The 25,056-nt window shown below is 48.1% G+C and overlaps 1 protein-coding gene and 2 long non-coding RNA genes across 6 annotated transcripts in view; 2 read left to right on the forward strand and 1 right to left on the reverse strand.

The window, feature by feature from the left end:
- The window catches only part of ST8SIA2 (ST8 alpha-N-acetyl-neuraminide alpha-2,8-sialyltransferase 2), a 74,848-nt gene extending 53,995 nt beyond the window's left edge, over positions 1–20,853 (forward strand). For all 3 annotated transcript variants that reach the window (NM_006011.4, NM_001330416.2, XM_017022642.2), the window contains one exon: positions 16,225–20,853. In NM_006011.4, coding sequence (NP_006002.1) covers positions 16,225–16,510 — 286 coding nt within the window. In that variant the 3' untranslated portion in view covers positions 16,511–20,853. The remainder of the gene's footprint in view (positions 1–16,224) is intronic.
- A 1,504-nt stretch (positions 20,854–22,357) lies between these two features.
- On the reverse strand, positions 22,358–23,671 carry LOC104613533 (uncharacterized). The gene is made up of 2 exons (NR_126501.1): positions 23,366–23,671; positions 22,358–22,531 (listed from the first exon to the last, which is right to left on the reverse strand). It is a non-coding gene; the product is annotated as an uncharacterized LOC104613533 (long non-coding RNA).
- A 130-nt stretch (positions 23,672–23,801) lies between these two features.
- Positions 23,802–25,056, forward strand: part of C15orf32 (chromosome 15 putative open reading frame 32) — a 29,441-nt gene continuing 28,186 nt past the window's right edge. For both annotated transcript variants that reach the window (NR_161371.1, NR_161370.1), the window contains exon 1: positions 23,802–24,647. This is a non-coding gene — a long non-coding RNA (chromosome 15 putative open reading frame 32). The remainder of the gene's footprint in view (positions 24,648–25,056) is intronic.

The raw sequence follows: 25,056 nt of genomic DNA on the forward strand, positions 1-25,056 counted from the left end.
AGTGGCAACCCTCATCTCGTGGACTGTTTAAATATTAAATATCGTTCCTTCCTAGAAGGAGGAAACTCTTGAGATGGTTCTGGAGTCCTTGGGGATAAGAGGAGAAACACTGCCCTTTGTTAAGGAGAGAAAATGTCCCTTGAATGGGGAATGGGCAACCACCTGGAAGAAACTGATGCAGCCAGATCTATTTCCAGCTATAACTGACTCACTTTCATCTGTCAAAACAGCATTAAGCACCAGTAATAAGCCCTTTAAACAAACAGGCTGTTCATCCTGAGACTGCAACATCTTCAGCTGCAGGACCACCCCAGGAGGAAATACTGCAGGAGATTAGCCTCTTCTTTTAGCAGGGGGAGAAGAAGGGGAAAAGGAGGCTTGGAATGGAATTCTGCCAATGATCCTCTCCCTCCGTGGGGCCATTGGACTCTGCAGGGTGCTGGGTCTAATAGGACACCAATGAAAAGTTAGGGAGCATGTTCATTAGCCCTTGCCTTGGTGGGACCTTACCTGGTGTTCACTGCAAGTGGAGGAATGGGCTGGGGAGGGATGCAGTACAAAGTCACACGAGAAAAGACCAAGGGATTGTAGAGAGGAAGGCTGAGGAGGAATCCGGCCAAGAGGCACTGTGGCCTAGCATCAAAACCATGGGCTTTGGCAGTAGCGACACCTCCAAAGGGTCCAGACCCCAGCTCCGTGACTGGCTTGGTTGTATCACCTGCCTTCCCCCAGAGCCCCGCAGAAGACACATGTAATTAATCAATCGTGCCTACTGTGATTGTGGCAGCTGCCACCTGCCACTTGGAGAGCTACAATGTGGGAAAGACATAAGACTTGTCCTATGGACTCAAGAGTTCCAGAGGCTGGAGCCACAAGGAGGAGAGTGCAATAGGCTGAATTTAAGACAGGACTCTGTAGTAGTCAGAGCAGTGGACTAAGTTAAACCAGTCACTCATGAGTTCTTCACCTTGAAGTCCCAATAATGGACTGCAGTTTGCAAAATAATCTTGTTTCCTTATGTTAAGATGTGTTACCCAATAAACCCCCTGTTTATAGGGTATGTGGGGGGGGGTGTGAATGAACTTTTATTGTGATAAAATATACATAACATAAAATTTATGATTTTAATGATTTTTTTCTTTTTCAACTTTTATTTTAGATTCAGGGGGTACCTCTGCAAGTTTGTTACCTGGGTATATTGCATGATGCTGAGGTTTGTGATACAAACGATCCCACCACCCAGGCACTAAACTTAGTACCCAACAGTTTTTCAACCCTTTCCCCATTCCCTTCTTCTCCAGTGTCTACTGTTGCCATCTTTATGTCCATGAATACCCAATGTTTAGCTCCCACTTATAAGTGAGAACATGTGGCATTTGGTTTTCTATTCCTGTGTTAATTCACTTAGGATTACGGCCTCTAGTTATTAGATCATCAGGGACAGTTACTTGTGAATGGGTATTGTTTATACACCATGCGTCCATGATGTATTCCATGGTGTATATGTACCACATTTTCTTTATCCAATCCACCACTTCTGGGCACCTAGTTTGATTCCATGTCCTTGCTATTGTGAATAGTGCTGCTATGAACATGCCAGTGCATGTGTCTTTTGGTAGAATGATTTGTTTTCTTTTGGATACTCATCCAGTAATGGGATTGCTGGGTGGAATAGTAGTTCTACTTTCCTTGCAAAATCTCCAAACAGCTTTTCACAGTGGCTGAACTAATTTACAATCCCAACAATATATAAGCATTCTCTTTTCTCCACATCCTCACCAACATCTGTTGTTTTTTGACTTTTTAATAATAGCCATTCTGACTGGTATAAGATGGTATCTCGTTGTGGTTTTGATTTGCATTTCTCTGATGATTCATGGTGAGCAGCATTTTTTCATGTATTTGTTGGCCACTTATTTGTCTTCTTTTGAGAAGTGGCTGTTCATGTCTTTTGCCGATTTTTTAATGGGGTTGTCTTTTGCTTGTTGAGTTGTTTAAGTTCCCTATAGATTCTGGATATTAGACCTTTGTCGGATGCATAGTTTGTGAATATTTTCTCCCATTCTGTAGGTTGTCTGCATTTTAAGCATTGTTAATTGTACATTTCACTTAGAAGAAATTCACTCTTAGAAGAAAACTTAGGAGAAGGTTTTCATCACCTTGTGTTTGGCAATGGTCTTTTAAGTATGACACCAAAAGCACAGGCAATGAAAGAAAAAATAGATAAATTGGACTACCTAGAAATGTAAAACATTTGTGCATCAAAGGACAATCTATCAAGGCACTCATATAATTAGAGAAAAGATTTACAAATACTATACCTGATAAGGGATTAACATCCAGGATATGTGAAGAACTCTTACAGCTCAACAACAAAAAACCCAAATAACTCAATTCGAAAATGGGCAAAAGACTTGGAATAGACATTTCTCCAAAGAAAATATACAAATGGCCAATAAGTACGTGGCAAGATGCTCCGCTGATCATGAGGGAAATACAAATTAAATACATGAATGTATTAGTCTGTTTTCACACTGCTATAAAGAAATCCTGAGATTGGGTAATTTATAAAGAAAAGAGGTTTAATTGGCTGACAGTTCTGCAGGCTCGCCAGGAATCATAGCGGCTTCAGCTTCTGGGGAGACCTTAGGAAGCTTCCAGTTCTGACAGAAGGCAAAGGGAGAGTGAGGCGTCTCACATGGCAGGAGCAAGAGAGAGAGGGAGGTGCTGCACACTTTTCAACAACCAGATCTTATGAGAACTCACTCATTATCATGAGGACAGTATCCACCGCATGGTGCTAACCCATTCACAAGAAACTGTCCCTGATGATCTAATCACCTCCCACCAGGTCCCACCTCCAACATTAGGGGTTACAAAATTCAACATGAGATTTGGTGGGGACACAGATCCAAACCATATCAATGAGATATCACTTCATACCCTCTAGCATGGCTATTAGTAAACACACATACACACACACAGAAAATAACAAGTGTTGGTGAGGATGTGGAGAAATAGGAACCCTTCTGCTTTGCTGGTGGGAATTTCAAATGAGAATTCACTTTTAGGGCAGTGACCAGGGATCAGTATAATCATTTCACATCTGGACATAAGTCAGCTACCTTGACAAAGCATTTCATGGGCAACTTGGACTTGACGGACAGTTTAGGGAATTGAAGGGGACAAACGTTAACTTGTTACCTTCATCTTGTTACCTTCATTTTGCAAAAGAGGAACTTGATGCTCAGACAAGTTAGGTCATTTGTATGAGGCCACCCAGCATCTAAGTGGCACAACCAGGAACTGAACTGCATTCTCTCGCTCTAATGTGGTGCACCAGGTGCAGCAGAAATTTGCACTCATTTAGGGACAGGGATGGCAATGAGCTGAGTGGGCCAGGAGCTGCCACACTGGAGAAGAGGTGTTAGAAGACCACGGCAGGCAGCAACGCATCAAGGCTACACGTGCACACACTGCAGTTGTTCAGAGCCTGGGGCAGCACCTTATCGGGGAGAACAAGCTGAAAGGTCAGAGCTCCTCAGCATCCCCTCAAACACCAGCCAGCACCTGGGCATGACACAGTTGTGCTGAAACCCCAGTTGAGGTTGCCCTTGCCCTTGAATGTGCCTTTGGTTTCGCTCTTCTCAATTTGTTTGGCTGCCCCTTCACAACAAAGGCATTTTTCAGAAGGAAAGCAGACATCCTTGGGTGGTGACTCAGAAAGGCTCAGAAATACAGTCACACATTCTGCATGCTGCTCTCGATGGCTTGCCACAGGACATGTAGGAAAACAGCTGAGGGGCACATACTACCATAGTGAACGCTTACATGCCGCACGCCATGCCAAGTAGCATTATCTCATGTCATGAGAGGACTACTGCCATTATCCCCATTTTAAAGATAGGAAAACTGAGCCTCAAGGAGTAACTTGCACAAGATCCCACGGCTGGTTAGGGACAGATCCAGGTCTCCTCCCTGCTCCTGATCACCATCCATTTGCCCCTATTACACATAACTAGGAAATAGTGATGGCACCCTAGAGAATCATGTCAGGAAGGCCAAGGCCAGGATGGGTTTGAGTTTATGAAAATATTAAGAAAAACAGAAAAGTCTTTTTATGTTTCAAGTAAGAACCAAAGGGCTAGGAGCAGATGGCATAGGGGCTACAAAGGGCAAATGTGTAATGAACTCCTCAACCCCTATATCTGTCTTTTCAGCAAAGATGAGTCTTTTACTTGGATAGGGGAACGGGGCCTTTGGGTTCTTTACTGACAGTCCCACTTTACTGCTCTAAAGCAGTGGTTCTTTACATTCATGGTCCCCAGACCAGCAGCATCAGCATCACTGGGAACTTGTTAGAGACGCACATTCTCAGGCCCACCCCAGACCTGGTGAATCAGAAACTCTAGGAGTGGGGCCCACCAATCTGTGTCTCAGCAGTGCTCCAAGTAATTTGCATGCACAGCGTTATGTTTGAGAACCACTGCTACCCACAAAGTCAAAACCAATGAACCTCCCAGGGGCAAACTTGCGGTCAGACCACTGAGCAGCTGGCCATGATCTTCTCCAAATCATGCAGAATTAGAGAAGGGAATCAGGGACAGGCAATCTCTGTCCCAATTTTCTAAACAGGAGGAAAGGATGGACAATGGTGAGCTTAATGTCAACACCAAGCTAGAGTTTCAAATAGGTTACCAATCCCATGGCTGATGAATGCTTAAAGATGGAGAAGTAGAACTGGAAGATACCTGGGCACACTGTTCTGATGTTCCTTTGTGAGGCAGGCAGCAGACAGGTAGACCAGGGATTAGTATAGTCATTTCACATCTGGACGTAAGTCAGCTACCTTGACAAAGCAACTTGACGGACAGTTTAGGGAATCGAAGGGGACAAATGTTGACTTCTCAGAACAACCTGATAAGATAGATATTATTTTCCTCTCCTTTCTACTCATAAGGAAATTAAGGCTCAGAAATGCAAAGTAAATTGCCCAATTGGAATTTACAGAACATCAACATATGAGTCTGGGGGAAAGGGAAAATTCAACCCGTAACAGCTGGGTTAGATGGCCTCCCTTCCCACGCTGAGATTCTCTCATTCAACACATCTGAGTCTCTGCTCGCACGGTGTACTTATGAAATTTCTGCCTATCTGAGGCAGTGAGCAGAGAAAGGGGAGCATGTTTCTGAAACCCAAGCAGAAGGCCTGCCCTTCTGTAAATTGCAGATGAGGAGAGGAAGGAAGCTGGGATTCAAATCCACGTATATAGGCATCAGTGATCTCTACTATCTCCACTGTGACCTCCTTGTATCCTTGACAGATAGTTTAACCACTATGTGCTGACCATTGACACCCAAAGGATGCTAATTAGATTAATGTGGACCACAGAGAGACCTCTCTGAACCAGCCACGGGGCTTGGTGTCTGTCCCCATTTTTACCAATAACTTAAATGACAGCATCAGTGGTCTGCTTAGCACATTCACTGGTGATGTGACTTTTGGGGGATTCTCCATATTTGGGGTCTCAGAATTAGAACCAACTCAACCAAAGAGGAAAAAGTTTGACATGGACAAATGCAAGATTCTGTACTTAGGTTCAAATCATGTATACAAGTGCAGAGAGATGAACAGCACCAACCATCAGTGGGTGTGTGGTTGCTCAAAAGGATAACATGGTCTTGGGTCACAGCAATGAATGGATAGCATCTCTGAGAGTCAGGGAGGTTGGCGATGGCCTTGCTTTTCTCTGCCTGGCCAGATCCCACTTAGAGAATCACATTTTTCTTTAGGTGCCAGGCCAGAGAGGGGCCACAGTGGCAGAGAAATTTGGAAGCTGAGAGGTTTTGAGAGAGAAGGTTCCAAGGAACAAGAGAGTTTTATTTACTCAGCAAATACTCTTTAGGCACCAGTAGGCTCCAGCCCTGTGCTGGGGGAATAAAAAAGTCAATAGAACAAGGCTCCTGCCCTCCATTGGCTCATAGATTTGCTCTGTGAGGCTCCAGGTGTAGAACTAGGGTTGGGGGAGGAAGCCAGATTCCTTCCGGACGCTGGGAAGAATATTCCAACAAATAAGATCATCTGAAATGGGCTTGGCTGCCTCTTAAGAGGTGGTGAATTCAGCATCTTTGGAGATATTCAGGCAGCAGCGAACCCCCCATTACTGAGGTGGTGGAGAGGAAATCCCTGTCATACAGAGTTGGCAGATTAGCTCGCTAATCAGGGCTACCGTAACAGCGTCTCACAGACTGGGTGGCTTAACCGACAGAATGTATTATCTAGCAGTTCTGGGGGCTGGAAGTTCAAAACTCAGGGTTCAGCGTGGTTGGTCCCATCTGAGGGCTGTGAGGGAAGGATCTGCACCAGGCCTCTCACCTTGGCTTGCAGATCGCCATCTTCTTGTTCCCATGGCCTTCTACCTGTATGCCTGTTTCCAAATCCCCCCTCTTTGCAAGGACATCAGTCATATTGGATTAAGGCCCACCCTAGTGACCTAATTTTAACTTCATTACTTCCGTGAATACCCTCCCTCCAAATACAGTCACATTCCAAGGTACTGGGGGTTAAAACATCAACATATGAGTTTGGGGGAAATGAGAAATTCAACCCATAACAGCTGGGTTAGATGGCCTCCCTTCCCACTCTGAGATTCTCTCATTCAACACATCTGAGTCTCTGCCCCCACAGTGGACTTACAAAATTTCTGCCCATCTGAGGCAGTGAGTAGGGAGAGGGGAGCATGTTTCTGAAACCCAAGCAGAAGGCCTGCCCTTCCGCTCTCACCAGCAGCTGGCAGGGCCCGGCCTCTGGTGCCAACAAGGCGGGCTTCAGCTGCCCCAACCTGAGCAGCTCACCCAGGGGCCCCTGGCTCTGCTGGCCTGTGGGGTGGCACGGAGCCCTGGCTGGCTGTTGGCTAGGAAGGTGAGCAATGGAGTGGAAGGACACTGAGGCAATTGAGTATGGCCTCAGGCAGCTGGTGGTGAATGGCTCTAATTTAATTACAACATCGAAGGAGGCTGCGACCCACAGAGACGGTGGCCCCTCAGGCAGGAAAGCAGCCCTGGGTGCAGACAAGGCCTGTGAATTGGTGCTTAATTAGGCACCAGGAGCCTAATTAAGGCTTTAGGATGGCACTGATTCAGCTTGCCTCTGGCCAGGGCCAGAGGGGCCAGGTCAGCAAAGCCAGCCCTGCTGCAGAGACTTGAGGGCCCAAGGTGAGAGAAGAGTAAGCAAGGTGCAAAAAGATAGGGAGAGACCAGCACAGGTTGCTGGTGGCTCCTCCCAGACAGGACCATGGCAATCCAGAGAGTGTGTCCCTAGGGCTGGTCCCTTCCCTGTGCTGGTCCCAGTCTCCTCCGGTTGACAGAGGGTGAGGTGAACTATCACCTTTTTGGAAGCGTGCTCCATGAAAGAGAAAAGGAGGGACGTCTGTGATATTAAGGCATAGGTGGCTCCCGGCATTTGTGTGTAATGGATTCTCTCTCTCTCCAATTTTTTTTTTAAATAGCAATGCAGATAGTGAAAAGACATCCAAATTGGATTAAAGGATTTAAAGTAAAAAGCCAACTCCGCTCCGCACCCCCTGTCCTCCTCCACAGAAGCAAGCTGTTAAACCTGCTTTCTGTGTGTGGATCCTTCCAAAAATAACCCCTTTTTACACCTACGGAACGTGGTTTAAGTACTGCACCTTGTTAAATTCTGGAAAGTATTCCCTATTGACACACACCACCTCATTCTCCTTCACAGCTGACTGGCAGTCCACTGTGTGTCTGGACCATAATTTATGTAAGCAGAAGCCATTGGCGGGCATTGAGGGTGTTTCCAATTTTTTGCCAGTATAATCAATGCTACATCGATCACCCTTGTGCTGATATCTGCAAACATATGCACATCTATAGGTTTTGCTTTTCAGAAGTCTTTGCCAATTTGCATTGTTAATTTTTATAGTTACTGCCAATTACCCTCCCTAGAGGTAGGTATCGATTCATATCCTCACCTACAATTATGGAAAATACCTGTTTTCTCTTAACCTCACCAATGGGTGTATTATCAACATTAGTTATATTTACCAATCCAATGAAAAGTGGTATCTGATTGTTGTTTGAAATTGGATTCCTTTGATTATGAATGAGATTGAATATAATTTTGTTTCTTTGGAGTGGCATCGATTGAAACTCCAGAATCCAGCCAGAAGGCTTAAGCCCCCAAGAAATGGTCTTGCTGGACCTCCTGCTGGGCCACAGGGGACAGAGATGATACCTGGGCATGAGCAGTAGTCTCACCACTCCTGGCGGGGCCCGCCATGTAGCAGGAAAAACCCCCAGTGCCATACCTTTCTCCTTTCTTTTGGTAACTTGCTGTCTAGGATGGTGTGAGCCTGCCTTTCCCATGTGCAGTCCTGGCAGCTGCCTAAAAGGGCTTGCAGTGAAGCTGGGGTCATTTATCTCTCCTGATAATGTCCCCAGAATGAACCTCTAGCCTCTGCTTGCTGCTTTTCATTCACTGCTCTATTAAAGATTTGTGAGGTGCCCACTTTATATATGTGCCATGCTAGGATCTGGAGTTATACAGAAGCAGGAAGTCAGTACATTTGCTTATAGAATTTAAAACTGTAGGGAAGGAAAAGAAAAGTAAACAAGTAATTCCAGTGTAGCGTGATAGGTGCTTGATAGGGGAAGAACAACATACCGGACACAAAACCATCCAGGGAGGTCCAGGAGGCTTCCTGCAGGAAGTGGCTTCAAAGCCAAGACCATAAGAAGGGACTGCTAGCCAGGACCACATAGGACGTGTCATGGAAGAAACTAAGATGTTCCTCGTGGCAGTGTGGCTGTGCACACTGGGTACTGGGAGAGATGTGCAGGCCCAGATCCCAAGGGCCTCACAAGCCCGATGGAGGCTATCAGGTTTTATGCTGTGGACTCCAGGAGTCACTGGAGAGTTTTCAGTGGCATGTCCATATTTGAGGCTAGCCTGGCTTACTTGAGCAAGAGTGTTGGCTTAGGCAGGCAGGGAGGCCTGGGGATCTGGAATTAGACTCAGCATCCCCATGCCTTGATCAGCCTTTCCCAACAGCCCCAAATTCTAAGACGAAGTCCTCAGCTCTCCAATACTGCAGAGATGGTGTCTCATTCTGAGATATCCTGCAGCACACCAGAGGCCTCAACAGTGTTCCCAAAGAAAGGACAGCCGTGGGCTGTAGGGCCCCTGGATCACGGCTGAGGCTGCCAATGCAGAGGACAGGAGAGCAGGAGCCCGAAAGTTCTGTTCCCAGCTTTGCTGCTGATCGTTCACAAAGCATCACTGAGTCTCCCTTGATGACCACCTGTGAGGCATTCCTGCTCCTTAGGGACATCATCAGCTTTATCCCACAGTGCTTTTAGCTTCTTGGAGGAAGCCCTTTTGGTCCCCTTTTCCAACAGTGACAGCCACTATTCTTTCCACATACCCAGCCCAGGAACCCAGGGAAAAAGACAAATGTGCTTTGGAGATGATTTTGGCAATCCTCATTGATTGCTGTCCGTGCTCATAAAATACGGTGCTTAATTGTCATGGCATTTGGGGTAGCCAATTTGAAAAATAATTACTGCCTTCTTTGAGATTACTTTGGCTTCTAATTAAAATCTCAAGACTGGGATATTAAAGGTGCACTGTCAATACAACGTCCCGGATGCACCCAGCTAACCTCATTTGGGAAGGCAAAATTAATTAGTTTGTGTTTTAACACCCAGCTGTTATCCTAAGGAAAGGAATAGTCTTCAAGTCGGCCATGCACACAGTCTCTAAATTGGCCAGAGCAACGGAGGAGAGATAAAGGAAATCGAGAGTGATTTGTTCCTGTATAACTCAGTCAGCTTCTATTACAAGCTGCTCGTTAAGTGGCGCTCCCGTGTCCCTGTCAGACATCGCTCAGGAGTTCTTGTTTACCCGTGGAGGCAGAATCGGAAATAAGTGGGTCCCTCTGTGCCACTGAGCTCTGGATTCATTCCGGAGCCTCATTTGCTGTTAACACCTTTTCCAGTTAGCAATTCTGGGTGAAAAGCCTGGCCCCAGATCTGAGAGGTTGGGCATTTCTATTCCTGTCCCAGCTGGCCGCAGTTACAAAGCTGTGTGCACTGCTGGCTTCCTCCTTTCTTCTTACCTACATCTTCCCATTTTTCAATTCCATTTGAGTCAAATGTTTGCTGAGTGCAACGGAAGTCAGGATAATCAATCCTAGGCTATGCTACAGTAACACACCCTGAGACTCCAGCACTTTAGCACAACAGAAGTTTATTTCTCACTCACTCGCAAACTGTGATGTGAGCTGGCAGGGGCTCTCTTCCAATCAGGGATTCGGGGATCTAGGATTCTTCCATCTTAGGCTGACATCTTCTGACCAGGAGACTTTGAAGTTCTCCAAGGCAGGGGAAGAAGAAGTGGGAGAGCCTGCTCTTGAACACCAACCAAGAAAGTACACATTGTCTTTGTCGCAGGCTATCGGGCCAGAACTAGTCACTTGACCCCAGCCCAGTTACCAGAGATGCCAGGAGATGTTTGTTGAGTGCTGCCGTCTCTGCAACAGTGCTTTGGACCCAGCATGCACTGAGCAAGATGCCTTTGAATCCTACTACAAAGGGGTGTAAGGTGTGGTCCCTGCGCTTGGGGAGACCACAGTACAGTTTCATGTTCCCCTTCTGGAAAGCATCCCTTCCGTCTCTAAAATGACCATTCACTTCTTCCGCAGTCATAGTTCTTGAGGCCCTCAGCACAGAGGCAGCAGGACCAACGACCTTCCCAGGAGCCCACAGATCAGCGGGAAAGGCAGGTGTGCACAATGCATAAGACTGGAGCCAGGGAAGGACACTGGTGCACGGGTGACCACAGCTGCCCAGAGACAGGGCAAAAGTGCAAAGGAGTGTTGATCTGAGCCTTGATAGGAGGAGGTGCCATGAAACAGCATAGTAATGAATTTTCAGCCTGGGCTGCTAAGCACAATAAGAGAAGTAGAAACAAAGCTGATGGTAATCATCTGGAGGTGGTTAACAGTCTGACTGGGGAGATGACAGTAGAACAAAGGCAATATTTCCAGGAAGACAGGATGCACGTGCTTAGTTTCTGGAGGTGGGAAAGAGAGTTCACCACAGGGATCAGTGGGGAAAGGCATCTAGGCGAGCACCCAGCACGTGTGGAGGCCCAGCACACGCCTGAGTAACCTCAGAAGCACCTATGGGCCACTTGGACGTTTCATCGCTGATTCGATTCCTCTCTCCCCCTTTCTGGTCATAACATTGATGGCCTGAAAAGAAATTCATTTCTGAAAGCCTTCCCCTACTAAGACCTTGCTATCAGAAAATAAACAAACCATTGTTTATCTGGCCTGTGTTAGGGCTTGAGTTCACTTAGGAAGTAAACATCGGGGTGATGTTTCATGCAGGGACACCGTGGTGGCTCGACGATCCCTGGGTAACGTCAGCCCACAGCTGCAGCCAGCTCATTCCCAGCCTGGGGAGTTGCCATGGGGTGAAAAATGCTCAAGAACCAGGAGCCTCAGATGCCTGTGTTTTATCCAAACTCTGTCTAACCAGCTGTTTGAGAAGCTTGTCTCTTCTCAAGCAAGTCACACTGGACTCCCGCGTTTTCCTTTCTAAAATGACAGAAGGGGACAAGTTCAGTCTAGGAGGCCCATGCGTTCACCACACAGACATGGCCTGTGGGATCACCCAGTAAGGCCTCACATGGTGTTGTTTTGTTTTGTTTTTGAGATGGAGTCTCGCTCTTGTCACCCAGACTGGAGGGCAATGGCGCAGTCTTGTTTCACTGCAACCTCTGCCTCCCAGGTCAAGCGATTCTCCTGCCTCAGCATCCTGAGTAGCTGGGATTACAGGTGCATGCCTCCACGCCCAACTAATTTTTGTATTTTTAGTAGAGACGGGGTTTCACCATGTTGGCCAGGCCAACTCCTGACCTCAGGTGATCCGCCCGCCTCAGCCTCTCAAAGTAAAATTTTAATTAGTTGCCAACATTTAAAAATTTGGAGAATTTGCATAAAAATCCTGATTTCTAATACAGAAAAAATCTGAAGATCTGGGACCACCATACTCAACAACAGTAAGACTGGCTACCCGTCACGATGCCCCAGTCCTCACCATTCCCCACTGCCTTCACAACACTGAGGCTGGGTGTTCGTTTTTCTTACACATGTCCCAAATCCCAGCTTGCTCAGTCACGTGCCCTGCAAGGCTGCTGAGCTAACTGAGCTCCCCAGTCCCAATCACCTTTAAAACTCTATGACTATATTCCTGACACTTCTTCTTTTTCTCTAAATATATCTCATTCTTGGGTCCTTTTGGCAGAACCACCCACCAGTCATCACAGGAGTTCTTAGGCGTAGCTGCACATTTGAATTACTGGAGGAGGCTGTGAGAATCCCAGTGTCTAGGCCACACATGGTAGTGAGATCCAGGCAGCTTTTAAAGCTCCAGATGATTCCAGTATGTGGCGTAGGTTGAGAACTTCTGCATTAGAGCTGAAAATGCAATGGGCTAGTTTAGGAGGGGGTGAGCTCCCTGTTATGGGACGTAGTTAAGCCAAGGTGCATGAATACTTTGCAGGGATCTGTGAGAGGATCTCAGCATCAGCTGCTGCTCTTCTGAGATTCTTCTCCTCTTTACAGTCCTCCTGCCTTTGCCCCTCAAAGCCTCCCAAGCTTAGCTCCGTTGAGCGTAGATGCTGCCGAGGTGGTCTAGGCAAGGGCTCCTTATCCAACAAACCCCAAGCTCAGCATCAAACATCCCCGAGCCAGCACCATTCCTCCTGCCTCCTACATATTAGCTGATGACTAAGCAAAGGGCCGTGTGGGGTAGTCCCAGGACAATCACATTAGACCAACCACATTCCTAGCCACCCACCTATCTGTTGGGTCTGCTTCATGAAGGTGAAAGAACAAGGACTTGGGGTCAGAAGGCCTGAAAGGAGGACCTGGCTCTTCCCCTTGCCATCTGAGTGTGTTGCTCAATCCTCGTGCCCTGTGTGGAGCCTGGGTCTGAAGTGTGGGCCTGAGTCGAGGACACGCTGTAAAGTGGTAGGTGAGGGTAAGATGCTGAGAGAGGGCCAGATCTCAGCTGGGTGATACAGAGGGAAGGGAGGAGCTGTGCAGTGTGGTTAGGAAGGTTTGGAGAGAGAGAAAGGGGCATGAAATGGGCCTTTCAAACGAGACATTTAGCCCAGAGCTCAGAGCAAAGTGGAGACATGGGCCAGTTATCTAATAACCCTGATCACAACGCAGCCTCCTAAAAATTCCAAGGCATCTTGGGAGTTCTTGAGAGTGGCACCAGTTCTGTACGTGGCCAGTGGGACACCCCACCCATAGTCTGCCCCTCACATTCCCAGAACTTCTTGGGGACTGGTACCACCCCGCCCCAGCCCTCTACCCCACCCCATAGAAAATTGGCTGTGTTCCCCTGGAATCACAAATATAAGAGGAAAAAGCCCCAAAAATATATATCTCTTCTGGGAAGCATCCTTTCCCATTCTGAAATAACCATCCACTTCTTCAGCCGTCATGAGCCATAGCACAGAGACAGCAGGAGAGATAACCTTCCAGGACCCCAGAGCTCAGTGTGTAAGGCAGGCATGGACACTGCAGCCCCTGGCGCACAGGTCTCCATGGGTGCCCAGAGGGACAAACTTAGCACAGCTCAGAGATGGGCAAAAGCTCAAAGGAATCTCAATCTGAGCCTTGGTAGCAGGAGGCACAAGGAAATAGCGCAGTGCCATGGTAGCTGTGGGCCAGACCTTCTGGGGAGGGTGCAAGTGTTGGTGGGAGCTGAAGCTGGAGGGTGGCACGGGCCAGGTCTTGCAGAGTTTCTGAACTATGGAACTTGGATTGTATGTGGAGCAGGGAGAGATTTCGGAGAAATGCCTGGGGGGCTACTAGGTGGAGGACAGATCACGGTGATGGGCTGCCACTGCAGAGACTTCTGAGAGAGAGCACAGGGAAGAAATGACGAAGATCTCAGTGTCCACAAACACTTGCTCCTGTTATTTTTCAATTGCACTGTGTTTGCAGTTACCAGCCAGAGCCATTGCCCTGTTCTGTGTCTGCCTTTGTCCCTCCCTTGGGTTTCCAGTTGAAAAATTCAGCTGCAAGGAAGTTTCTTGGCCCAGACAGGATGAAATCAGAGAAAGTGCGAGGAAAGGGGTCTTCGAAAGACAGGCTTATGAAACAACCGCGGTTGTCTAGGGGCCACCCAAGGAGGCTCCTGTCGTGCCCGGGAGAATCGTGTTCACTCCGATTCTGGCCACCTAGGACCACAGCCTTCATCAGCAATGTCGAAGGGGAGATTCAAGTCACCCCAGCCCCATAGTCGGGATGGGGGGTGTGAGAATGAGGATTCTCAAAATGCATTTTATTTCATCAATTGTTACATGATTAGGTGACTCACTGAACTTACATAGGTTATTGATAATCTATAACCTCATCTGATTCACAGGCTAACACCTCCTACAAACACACAAACAAAAAGGATTTAAGGTCGACACTGTGGGATGTTTTATGGGTTTCCTTTTATGAGCTGCAAAAGGAACAATTTTGCAAAAATAAAGAAGTATTTGGGCTTCTAGAAAACCTGTCCCTCCCACCCCAACCTTTCAGCTAAAAGCACTAAATCATATTAAACAGTTTCATCTTTCAGCAATATGTAAATGTTTTCTCTGACATGTCTTTACTTCTGGCCTGAATTTAATGGGTGTGTTTGATTATACAGTCACATGCATCTCTGTGGAGATGTCAACAGAAACCATGCTGGCCTTCACTTTAGTTAGGGAGGGCAAACCATGGAGTTTGCTTGAGGACAGAAAGATGTGAATTGTGTCTGGTCTAGAGACACAATGGTAAGAAATTTGTGGTAAGGAAAATGTCTTCCCACCAAGCCATAAGCATTGCCTTTTAAGGGATTCAGCCTAGGGTAAGTGGAAGCTTTTACTAGAAATAAAGACATTAGACCACACATCAGCATGCGTTCTGAGTCCCAGAGGGAGAATAACTGTGATGGAACGTAAGAGGATGACAAATAGAATGGATGTTTTCCCACTTTGGGAGAAAGTTCTAGATTTTCTTGGAATGTTGAGACCTGGAGGATATCTTGGAGATCACCTAGACTGTGACTCATCATTGCATAAATGTGAAACATTAGGTTCAGCAGAGAGATGTGACTTGCTCAAAGGCACACAGATAGTTGGTGACCAAACTGTCACTAAAACTCAGGTCTTGAGTTACTTCCCCCCTCTGAGCATGTTTCTTAGTCTGTGGAATGCACATAGTCTCTTCCTCACTGCATTCTTGGCTAAGGTGCACCCTGCACCCTTCTCTCTTCACTTCTCTTTGTTTCCTCTCGTAACCCTTTAACAGACGACTTGAGGCAGGAAGCGGGGACTCTGTTTCAGAGGTGGATACACCAAGATGTAGTGAGCAGTCTTTAGAAGAAAGAGAGTGGGCAGAACCCAGCCTTGCATGGCAAACCAGTGTCCAGGGCCCCCAGGGTAGTCACCCTTGGTCAGAGATGGGTATCAGAGAGGGGGTCCTGCAGCAGGGACAGCAAGGAAATCTGAAGACGCTCAGGAGGCAAGGATGGAATCAGGAATGCAGATCCGCGAGGGGACGCCCTGTGGGACTCTTGGAAAGGCAGCAGGCACCACACAAGAGCCAGTGGTTTCTCAGAGGTCAGCAAACTGCTGCTCAAGGGCCAAGTCTGGCCACACCCATGTGTGTTGTCTGTGGCCCTTTCATGCTACAGCTACACAACGGTCAAGTAGTATTGGGATTGTTGTGGCCCAAAAGCCAAAACTATTGATCATCTAGCCCCTTACAGAAAAAGGTTGCCAGCTCCTGCTTGAGCTGTCCACGGGCCTGAGTTCAAGTCAAGTGCTGCCCCTTTCTACCCAGGTAACCTTGGGCAAGCCATTTTTCACCTCAGAGCCCCATTTCTGCATCTGTACCCACAACAGGTTTGTTTTGAGAATTTCATAAACTCGTGTCTGTGACCGCATCCAGGCTAAGGAGCAGTTCAGTTGCTTCATGTGCTTGTCACTCCTCTGTGGAGGGAACCAGGGATGTGTAGCTTGATCGGTCCCTGGAGTGGCAGAAGGCAGGCTGCTGGGCAGGATAAAATTTTTGTCTTCCTGGAAAGGATGACTCACAGACCCATGTTTCTTTTCTTTTTTTTTTTTTTTTTTTTTTTCCAGATACTGGCTGACCAACAAAGTCCACATCAAAAGACCCACCACCGGCCTCTTGATGTATACCCTGGCCACACGTTTCTGCAAACAAATCTACCTCTACGGCTTCTGGCCCTTTCCGCTGGATCAGAACCAGAACCCAGTCAAGTACCACTATTATGACAGCCTCAAGTATGGCTACACCTCCCAGGCCAGCCCGCATACCATGCCCTTGGAGTTTAAGGCCCTCAAGAGCCTACATGAGCAGGGGGCTTTGAAACTGACTGTCGGCCAGTGCGATGGGGCCACGTAGGGTGGGCACCCCATGGGACTCAGTGGCTCACATTTCCTGCCAGCTACACCACAGGCAGATGGGAGTCGGGGTGGCACAAACAATAGAACAAGCAGGCTAGTGGTTTTCTTTGTTAAAGTGTAAAACAGTGACCAGAATATATATATCTATACCTGCATATATATATTGACCTGAGTATTTATAACTGTGTGGTGTTCATCTAGCATTAGGCAGATAGGCCACAGGAAGAAGGTGTGGAGAACCCACCTGAACCAGATTGAGACTCAATCCATCTTTGGGGGTGGAAGGACTTGACATGAAAAGAAGCCAGTCCCATGACTTTGGATGACAAACTGCCTCCTGGCTTGGAGGGATCTTTGGGCTCATGGATGAATGGCGAGCCACCTGTTGTCAGCTGCCCCAAGCCTCTGGGATATGTGGATTCGGAGAAAGCTGAGGCCCAGAGGGGACACTCGACCCAGTCTAAAGTGGGTGCCATTCACGGAGGAGAGGGAGGTTGGAGACTTCAACCGGGCAAAGGAGCACAAGGAAACCAAGCAGCAGAGGCCCCATCAGCACAGAGGGCCTCGTTCCACGAACGTAGAGTTTGACTGCCTAAGGGACAGCACGAATGACTCACATGTTTCAGACAGGCCTCCACGGCTATGGAGAGAAGGCTGGAGGAGACACAATGGATGGTTCATGTTCTGGCTTAGCAAGAGCCACCAAGAACTTTGGGTGAAGCAAGCAGATGACAATGAAGAGGAGTAATGTTCCGAATCATGTTTTTGAAAAATCAAGACCTCCTGTTAAGGGCCCACTTGACCCTAGAATAAGGCAGGAGAGTGTCTAAAATCTAGCTGCTTTGGGTGTTTTTTAAAGCAATGTGAGTCCACTGAGGAGGAAGAGACCCTGGGATTTCACCCTCTGGGTTAGTCTCTGTCTCACCCTGTTAGAATGTCACGAGGGACTGTACTGTCCCCTCTGTCACCAGGGAAGCCACAATGAGAGCTTGAAAGGGTGCTGTCAAGATAAATGTCATCCTTCTTAAAATACATATGATTGCCTTTTTGGGTGCCTCACAGAGCCCCAGAGTGTGAGACCTGAAAGAATGTTCAGCATCTAGCTCCATGTCCCTGCAACCACTCTCTGTTTGCCTTCTGCATTCTGCACTCTGCGGGGCCTTTGCAGCCAGACTGCTGTGTCAATGTTACTTTCTTGTCACTTTCCTACCCTGATGGTCACACTAGCCCACCCCAAGCTCCGACATTGAGGTTTTCATCTCTGCAGGGAGAGGTTCCAATGTCCACCCCACCCCCAGGTACCCGCCTCTTCCCACAGAAGCAATTTTAGAATTTTGCAAAATTCTTTTCCCCTTATTGAGATTAATATTTAAGATTAAAAAAAAAATACCCAAAGCCAAATGCAGTTCCAAATAGTGGACATAATCTCCCAGGGAAATCTGGGCTCGAGGCCTACAACTTAGGGGCTGGAATCACAGGTCTCACATAGAGAAATAGCCAGCTTGAATTTGTTAGTCGTATTCCTTCACCTGATGAATAACAGTGTTTTAAAACATATTTGAAAGGTAAGTAAAAAACTACCATCTTGAAGGTGAAGGGAGTTAAGAAAAGTAATCAAGACCTGCTCCTAAGCATATGAGACCAGATGTAATTAATCAATGGCAATGCAGAACAGGACCTTGGCTCTAAATTAATGGTTGACCGGAAGGGATTGGAGGCGGCAGAACCATTAACCCTACACAAGAACACTCCAGCCCAAAACCGTGAGGAAGGTGATATATCTCTGCATTTTCCCTTGTTGTTGCTTGAAGTCTGTGATTGGGGATTTGCGTTATAAAATGAATATTTTAAAAAGCAACAGCCCTAATAGCCTCTGTGGGAACTGAGTGGTTTCGGACTCCTCACAGGCGGTGGAAATAATTAATACCATATTTTATACATCTCCAGAGCCTTTCATCTTGAGGATCTCAAAGACCGTAGAAGACATTTAATTTCTAAAGCTTGAAGTGCCCCGAGGAGCAGGTAGAATTTCCAGCAGGGCCTTGGTGGATTAACCAAGGCCTTGGATTCCAGAATGTTTCATGGTAAGCACTGTGGAGAACCTACATGTCAGGTTCTGGAGTTGGCCCTGAGCTCTATCCACCAAGCCAGCACCCCACCATCCCTTTGCAGGGGAGTCAAAGGGCCAGAACTCCTTGGGGGACCAGAACATGGTTTTCCTTCTGCCTATCTTAGTCATGGCTCCTAAAATTGAAGCTGATATGAGCTGGAGTGCAAGGAGTCCTTCCACCCTGCCTTCAGGTTCTCTCTGGAGAAAGGTTAGAGACCCCAGGACAATCAACATGTGCACCGTTCCCCTCCTCGGCTTGAGTCCTGCACTACCAAAATGGCCTGGCCATTTGATGGCGGAGCTCCAGGGGCCTTGGCTTTCTCTGGCTCATTGTCCTTCTCCATCTGGGCCAATTGTCCTTCCCTGCCCATTCAGAGTTCAATTTGAGCCTCCACTGCAGTTCCTGGTGTGGGCCAGCTGGTGTTGGGTGGCCCCAGGGAGTCACACAGTCTGTACCCGGCCCCGAGATCCTCTGCTGTAACTGCAGGGTCACAGGCATCCCGGGAGAATGGGCCTCCACCCTCAGCCAGCCCTCACTGCTGACAGGCACCCCTCTGTCACCTCCTGCCACCTGTCAGATACCCAGCCTGCCCGCCATCAGCCACCCGAGTGGTTCCGACCTCCATTCACCTCAAGCCCCAACAGGCCCCTGTCATTCCACTTCATGGAAGAGACGGAGCCTTCTGAAATGAGATCTACCCTGAAAATCTCTTCTCCTTCCCCTTTCTGAGAAACGTCATCCCCACCAGTTAACGTTTCCTGTACACCCTCACCCTCTCTCGTCCATCTCTGTTGCCTCTGCACATCAGCACACACTGACTCCACCTGGGCTGGCTCCTGCCGCCTCTTCCCTACCTCCTCCACTAGCCGCAGGAAGGGCCTCCAGCACCCACAACTGCCCTTCCTCTTGATGCCCCTCGGCTTCCCCCCAGCCTGGCAGCAGCGTCCCAGCGCCTCCACATTGCCCCTCTCACCTCCCAGCTCTCCACGCCACTTGGCTCTGCAGCGACCCCTCCTAGACGCTCCCTGGCCCCTCGGCACCCAGAATGCCACATTCTTGTGTTTTTTTCCTCCTTCTTTCCCAATCCCTCTCAACCATGTATTTATTTATATATGTATGTATTTTTTTATTTATTATTTATTTATTGAAACCCCTACTTTGATTGACAAAGGAATCAAGGTAGATCTGACCAGTATTCCCCTCTCTTCTCCTTGTCCCACCACATGGACATGCCTTACACTGGCGTCCTCTCCTGAGTCCCTCCGCACTCTCCATCAGCAACCTCACACCTGCCTTCAGACCCGGCTGCAACTTCCTAAGCTGCCCCTGCCCCAGCTCCTCTCTGCAACCCAGCCCTCTCCTGAGCTCTAGGCTGGGATTACACCCGCTGGAGGGACACTCACCCCATCTGCTCCCACGGCAGCACCATCAACTCAACAAGTCAGAAGCCAAGTGGATCATCTGTGTCCCCTTCCCCCACAATCCCTCCTTTTTCTAGTAAAAGACCCGTGATCCCGTCAGCCACCCAGTCTGAGATGCTGACGTTATCTTCGACTATTCTTCCCTGTCCTGCCTTGCTAATTCTTCCCACTAGCACTAATCTCGACTCTTTGTCACTTGGACTATTTCAGCAACAGTCTCATCTCCCAGATTACCTCTGTGCACACTGACACGTGGTCCCGTCCATCCTGAACATGCACAGTGATTTTCCTCTCCCGTTGCACACAAACCTTTAAAAGTTCCCCGGCCCGTGAACAAATGTACAATTCTCTATTCTGACATTACAGACCACCGGATAAGGCCCCATTCTTCCTTTACACCCTCCCCTGGTCAGCCTAGGAGAGTTGTTTTTCCTGGAAAGGGTGCCTGCGTTTTACTGTCTCTGTGCCTTTGGTCTTGCTATCCCCATCCCCTGGAATGCTCCCTTTTCTTCCCTTCAAAGCCCATGCGGAAACCACGTCCTTCATGAAGCCCTCCCTGATGTACCAACCACTGGGATCTCTCCCTCTGCTGAACCACCGTAGCACTTTATTTGTACCTTTCTCATGGCACTTACCATATTCTGCCTTGTATTATAGTTATTTGTGCACTTGTCCTTTGACTGTTCTTAGACTGTAAGCTTGCCAAGGGCAGGGACTGTGTTTTATTCATCTGTATCCATCACAGCACTAGGCGTGGTGCATAGCACACAGCAGTTGCTCAATAAATGTTTGTTGGATTAAATCCTTAATACCTGTAGAGGGCTTTATACTTAAGGAAGTCATTTTGCATCTATAATATCACAAGAACCTCTGAAAAATCATGTGGGTTGGACCAAAGCAGAAATCATTATCCCCGTTGTATAGGTCATAAAACTGAGGCCAAAAACCTGCATGAAGCCTCACGGCTTCCTGGTAGAATGTTCATCCAGGTCTTCTCATCCTCACTTCAGGGCTTTTCCTGTTCATCTTTGTGGTTGGATCACTGTAAACTGAAAACTAGCCCTATGCAGAGGCCTAGACACAGAGACCCAACAAACCTCAGCATGAACCCCATCAGCACAGGCAAAATCTCACTCCTTTCTGGGAAGGACGAAAGCCATTTGGGTTTTACGAGTCCTGGGAGGTGGAGTTATAGGACCCCATCAGTCATTCCCACTGCTGTTGTTGAGGGTAGGAAACCATCCTTCCAGATGGCAGGGAGACTAACAACTCCAGGGGGCTGCTTTTTGATAAATCTCTTCATGCCTAATTAAGGCTCCCTCTCCAGAATGAATGGAAGAGGATGTTTACTGATGCCAGTCAGATGGGACTCCAGACATGTGTACTGCCTCATGAATGTCCTTAATGCTATCCCCAATGACACTGACAGCCTGCCCCAGCCTCTGTCTCTCACCAACACTGCCGAATGTCATCTCTTCTCATCTTTATCTCTATTCTTTGCTTCCTGTCTTCAGGGCTCTTCCCTTGGCATTCACCAGGAGCAGAGTGAGCCCAGAGAGCTGAGTGGTATCCCTTCTTCTTGGGTCCCTGAGCCCTGACCTGGAGCAATGCTGTGAGACAGCAGGAAAGGAGGGGAGTGTGGAGTGGGGAGCACTATATGCCACTCCTCATGGAAGCAGAAAAAAACAGGCTTTTGTTCTGGTGGCAGGTCATCCACAACAATGGGATGTTTCCATGGTTACCATCTAGAAGCAATATCTTAGTTGTTTGGGGCTTTATGATGGGGGTAATGTAATTTCTGTTCTTAGCAATCCAGGTGACAGGGCAATTTCCATATATAGTCCACTGAGCCATCCAGCCCCAGATCATAGTTTCTCTAGAATCGTCCTAGCTGTCTGCAGCCAAAGCCCAATAGAACCACCCAACAAAGAGCACTAAAGGTCCCTTGTGGCCTTTCTCAGTCTTCCTCACCATTTCCTCAGCCACCTTTCCCTAGAACCTGGGGGATGGGAAATGGGGCTACTGTGGGCTTCCAAGAACCATGCCAACAAAGACCTCAAGTTCTCCAGTCATGACAACATTTTTAAATATTTAAAAGCATTCTCCAAAACTGACCCAGAACCAGCTATGAGCGGCCATCCCTTAAGGAATTAATAGAAAATGAGGATCCAATGGCCAAAAAGTGGAGGACTGCCATGCAACCCACATGGACCCTAGAGTGATGGGTCCAGGCAGTCATGGGGGGAGTGCAGCCCTCCATTCAGCATGCTGAGGCAAGTCAAATGGGGTTGGTGCAGGAAAACGCCCTTTCAATTTGTTTCCAAGTGTCTTTATTTTCTAAAATGAGACTGTAATGGTGGAGCTGCTGGACAAAGTCAATGAAGGGATGACTGGCCCGTCAGAATCATGAATGCTTAACAGAAGCTGTGTGTTCCAGGGAAGACCACTCTGAGGCAAGCTGTTTTACTGCATTCTCATTCCAGTGGCCTAGGTGGGCAAGAATATAACTCACTGTAATAACAACAGCGGGACAGGTTGCTTGGCTGTATCTTGTGTTCACAAATGCCCCATCTCTGGTCAGGAGCTCTGGAAGGAGTACCAGATGATCTGAAAGCCTGCCACTCAAGAACCTAGAGGGCATGAATGAGACTTGGCTCTGGTATTTTTCCATCTGTAAAATGGAGAAGACACCTACCGACCTCCTTTATGCAGTTATTGCAAAAATGCAAATACAGGACAAGGTAGATAGAGAAATTGGGTAGAGGGAGTGGGGATGCTCAGTGGTATAAAGCAAGTGAAATGTATGCAGCTGTGAGTTTTCAGGATTCTGCTTGTCCAACATCAGATCACACCATTGCCCTGCTTAAACCCTCAGTGGCTTTCCTTCATCCTTGCAAGAAAATTCCAAGCATCTTACCATGGCTTACAAGACCTTGAGCCCTCCTCCCTCTGGCTCCCTGTTATTCTAGTGTCAGGGCCTTTGCACTTGTTGCGCCCTCTGCCTGGAAATCTGCTTCCCAGCTCCTTGCCTTCCCTCTCTGTCTCATCTTTCATGCTTCAAATTGAATGTCACCTCCTGGGGAGCCTGCTCCTTGTCTCCCTCAGCTAATTACTTTCTATTACACGACACATTATCCTGCTAGGTGGTCTTCATAAACTAAATTATCTCATTTATTTTGTAGTTCTCAACCCCAAGGACCCTCCTAAAAGATCCCAGTGCTCAGGCCACACTCCACACAAGTTTAAACATCTCTGGAAGCTGATCACGGACATCTTCCTGGCTCACGGTCAGAACTGAGAAACAATGACATATCTGCTCACTAGTTTATGGTCCACCTCCACTTCTAGGATGTTCCAGGGGTACTTGTTTTCCACAGGGGTCACCTATGCCCTGGAAGGTGGAAGTGGCCCTCCTCCAAAGTAATTGTTGATGACTCTGCCTGGGGTGCTGGCAACAGGCTTGCAATGTGACCATATCCCTGGTGCTCTCAGCAGGTACAGGCCAGCTTTGAATTTCCCAAGGATGACACTTTACCCCCTGCAGCTCCAGATAAATGTCCAGCATTTTTACCCATTAGCTGAGCTAGTGGGTGGAATTTTTCCAGTCCCCATTTGACCCACTCAGAGAATTTCATGAGCCTTGCCTTACCCAGGAGGCTCTTTCCTGGCTTGTGCAGGCTTTAGAACTCCACCCCCTAGCCCCACCCCAAAGACCTTTATGAGCTCAGCTGGACATTGGAACCACTGGAGGAGCTTTAAAACCTCCTGAAACCTAGGTCTGGCCTTCAGGGAATCTGATTCCTTGGTCTGGGGTATGGCCCGGGCATCTCCTGAAGCTCACCAGGTCACACAGAGGTGTAGCCCCAGCTGGGAACCACTGACCCAGACTCAGTTCCTGAATTTCTGTGACCGCTTCCATGGCAGCCCCTCTCAGGCCCCTGGTGTGAGGTCTTTCTTTTGCTTCTGGCTTCTGAGAGTTTCCTTTCCTGATTCCAGGCTGGGCTCGGTTTTGTCTGGTGGGTTTTTTTGCCACTGCCGTTGTGTTAGTGGCATCCAGGTCTCCGGATTACTGCATGCTTGCAGTGGGAGGAAAGGCCTGTCTACCATGTTCTCTGCCTCCCCTTCATGTTCTGTGAGGAGAGGGGCCTTGTCTGGCATGTTCACCGAGGCATTCCTGACCACTAGAACTGTGCTTGGCACAGAGTAGGCACTTAATAAACTCCTGCTGCATGAACAAAAGAACAAGTGTGGATGCTTCAAAGGAAGACTTGCACCCGGCTGACCCCCAGAGTGGGGAAGGGGTCCCACCTAATAGGAAGAACACCAAGACTTCCCCAAGAGGAGAAGGAACGGCTCCCCCTTTCTCGGCGAGGCCATGTGTCTGGACCCTGTGTGAGATGCTTTCTATACTAGCCCTTGTTGGGGTGTTGCACCCATTTTACAGATCAAACAACCAAGTTTATCAGAAATTAAAGACTCATTTAAGATGCCAAAGCTCACGAGTGGATGGTTTGATGCTGAAGCCAACATTGTTAACACCATCTCAGCTCAAAAGCCCTGAAGGCCACTTAATTCTACCAACCTTCAACCATCTTGTCATAAGGTGAGCCTGCACTCAGGAGTGACAGGAAGACAGAACTCACCTTCCTATAGCCCAGACTCCTCACAGGCTACTGCTCCACCCTGGCTCTTCCCACTGGCAAAGCAGATACAGACCCAGAGCACACCTGTATAGCAATGTCAATTGTTCAAATGCTTCCTTGCCAGGTGGTCAAGAGCCACAGCTCTGAGCACCCCCTGTGCCCTGTGCTCCAGCACTGTGGCCAAGGTCCATTCTGATTGGTCAGGGGCCCTCTGTATTGGTAAATACTTTGCATATCACCCCTGCTCCCAGGTTCTCCAGGCAAGAAACTAGGGGCCAGGTGGCCGATTTGGGCGTTTAGACCACTGGGCAAGACACCAGAGCCTCACTGCACTGCTGTTTCTGTGGCAGCTACTTTGGGTGACTGGCT

This window comes from Homo sapiens, chromosome 15 (assembly GCF_000001405.40).
Source record: "Homo sapiens chromosome 15, GRCh38.p14 Primary Assembly".
NCBI classification, from domain to species: domain Eukaryota; kingdom Metazoa; phylum Chordata; class Mammalia; order Primates; family Hominidae; genus Homo; species Homo sapiens.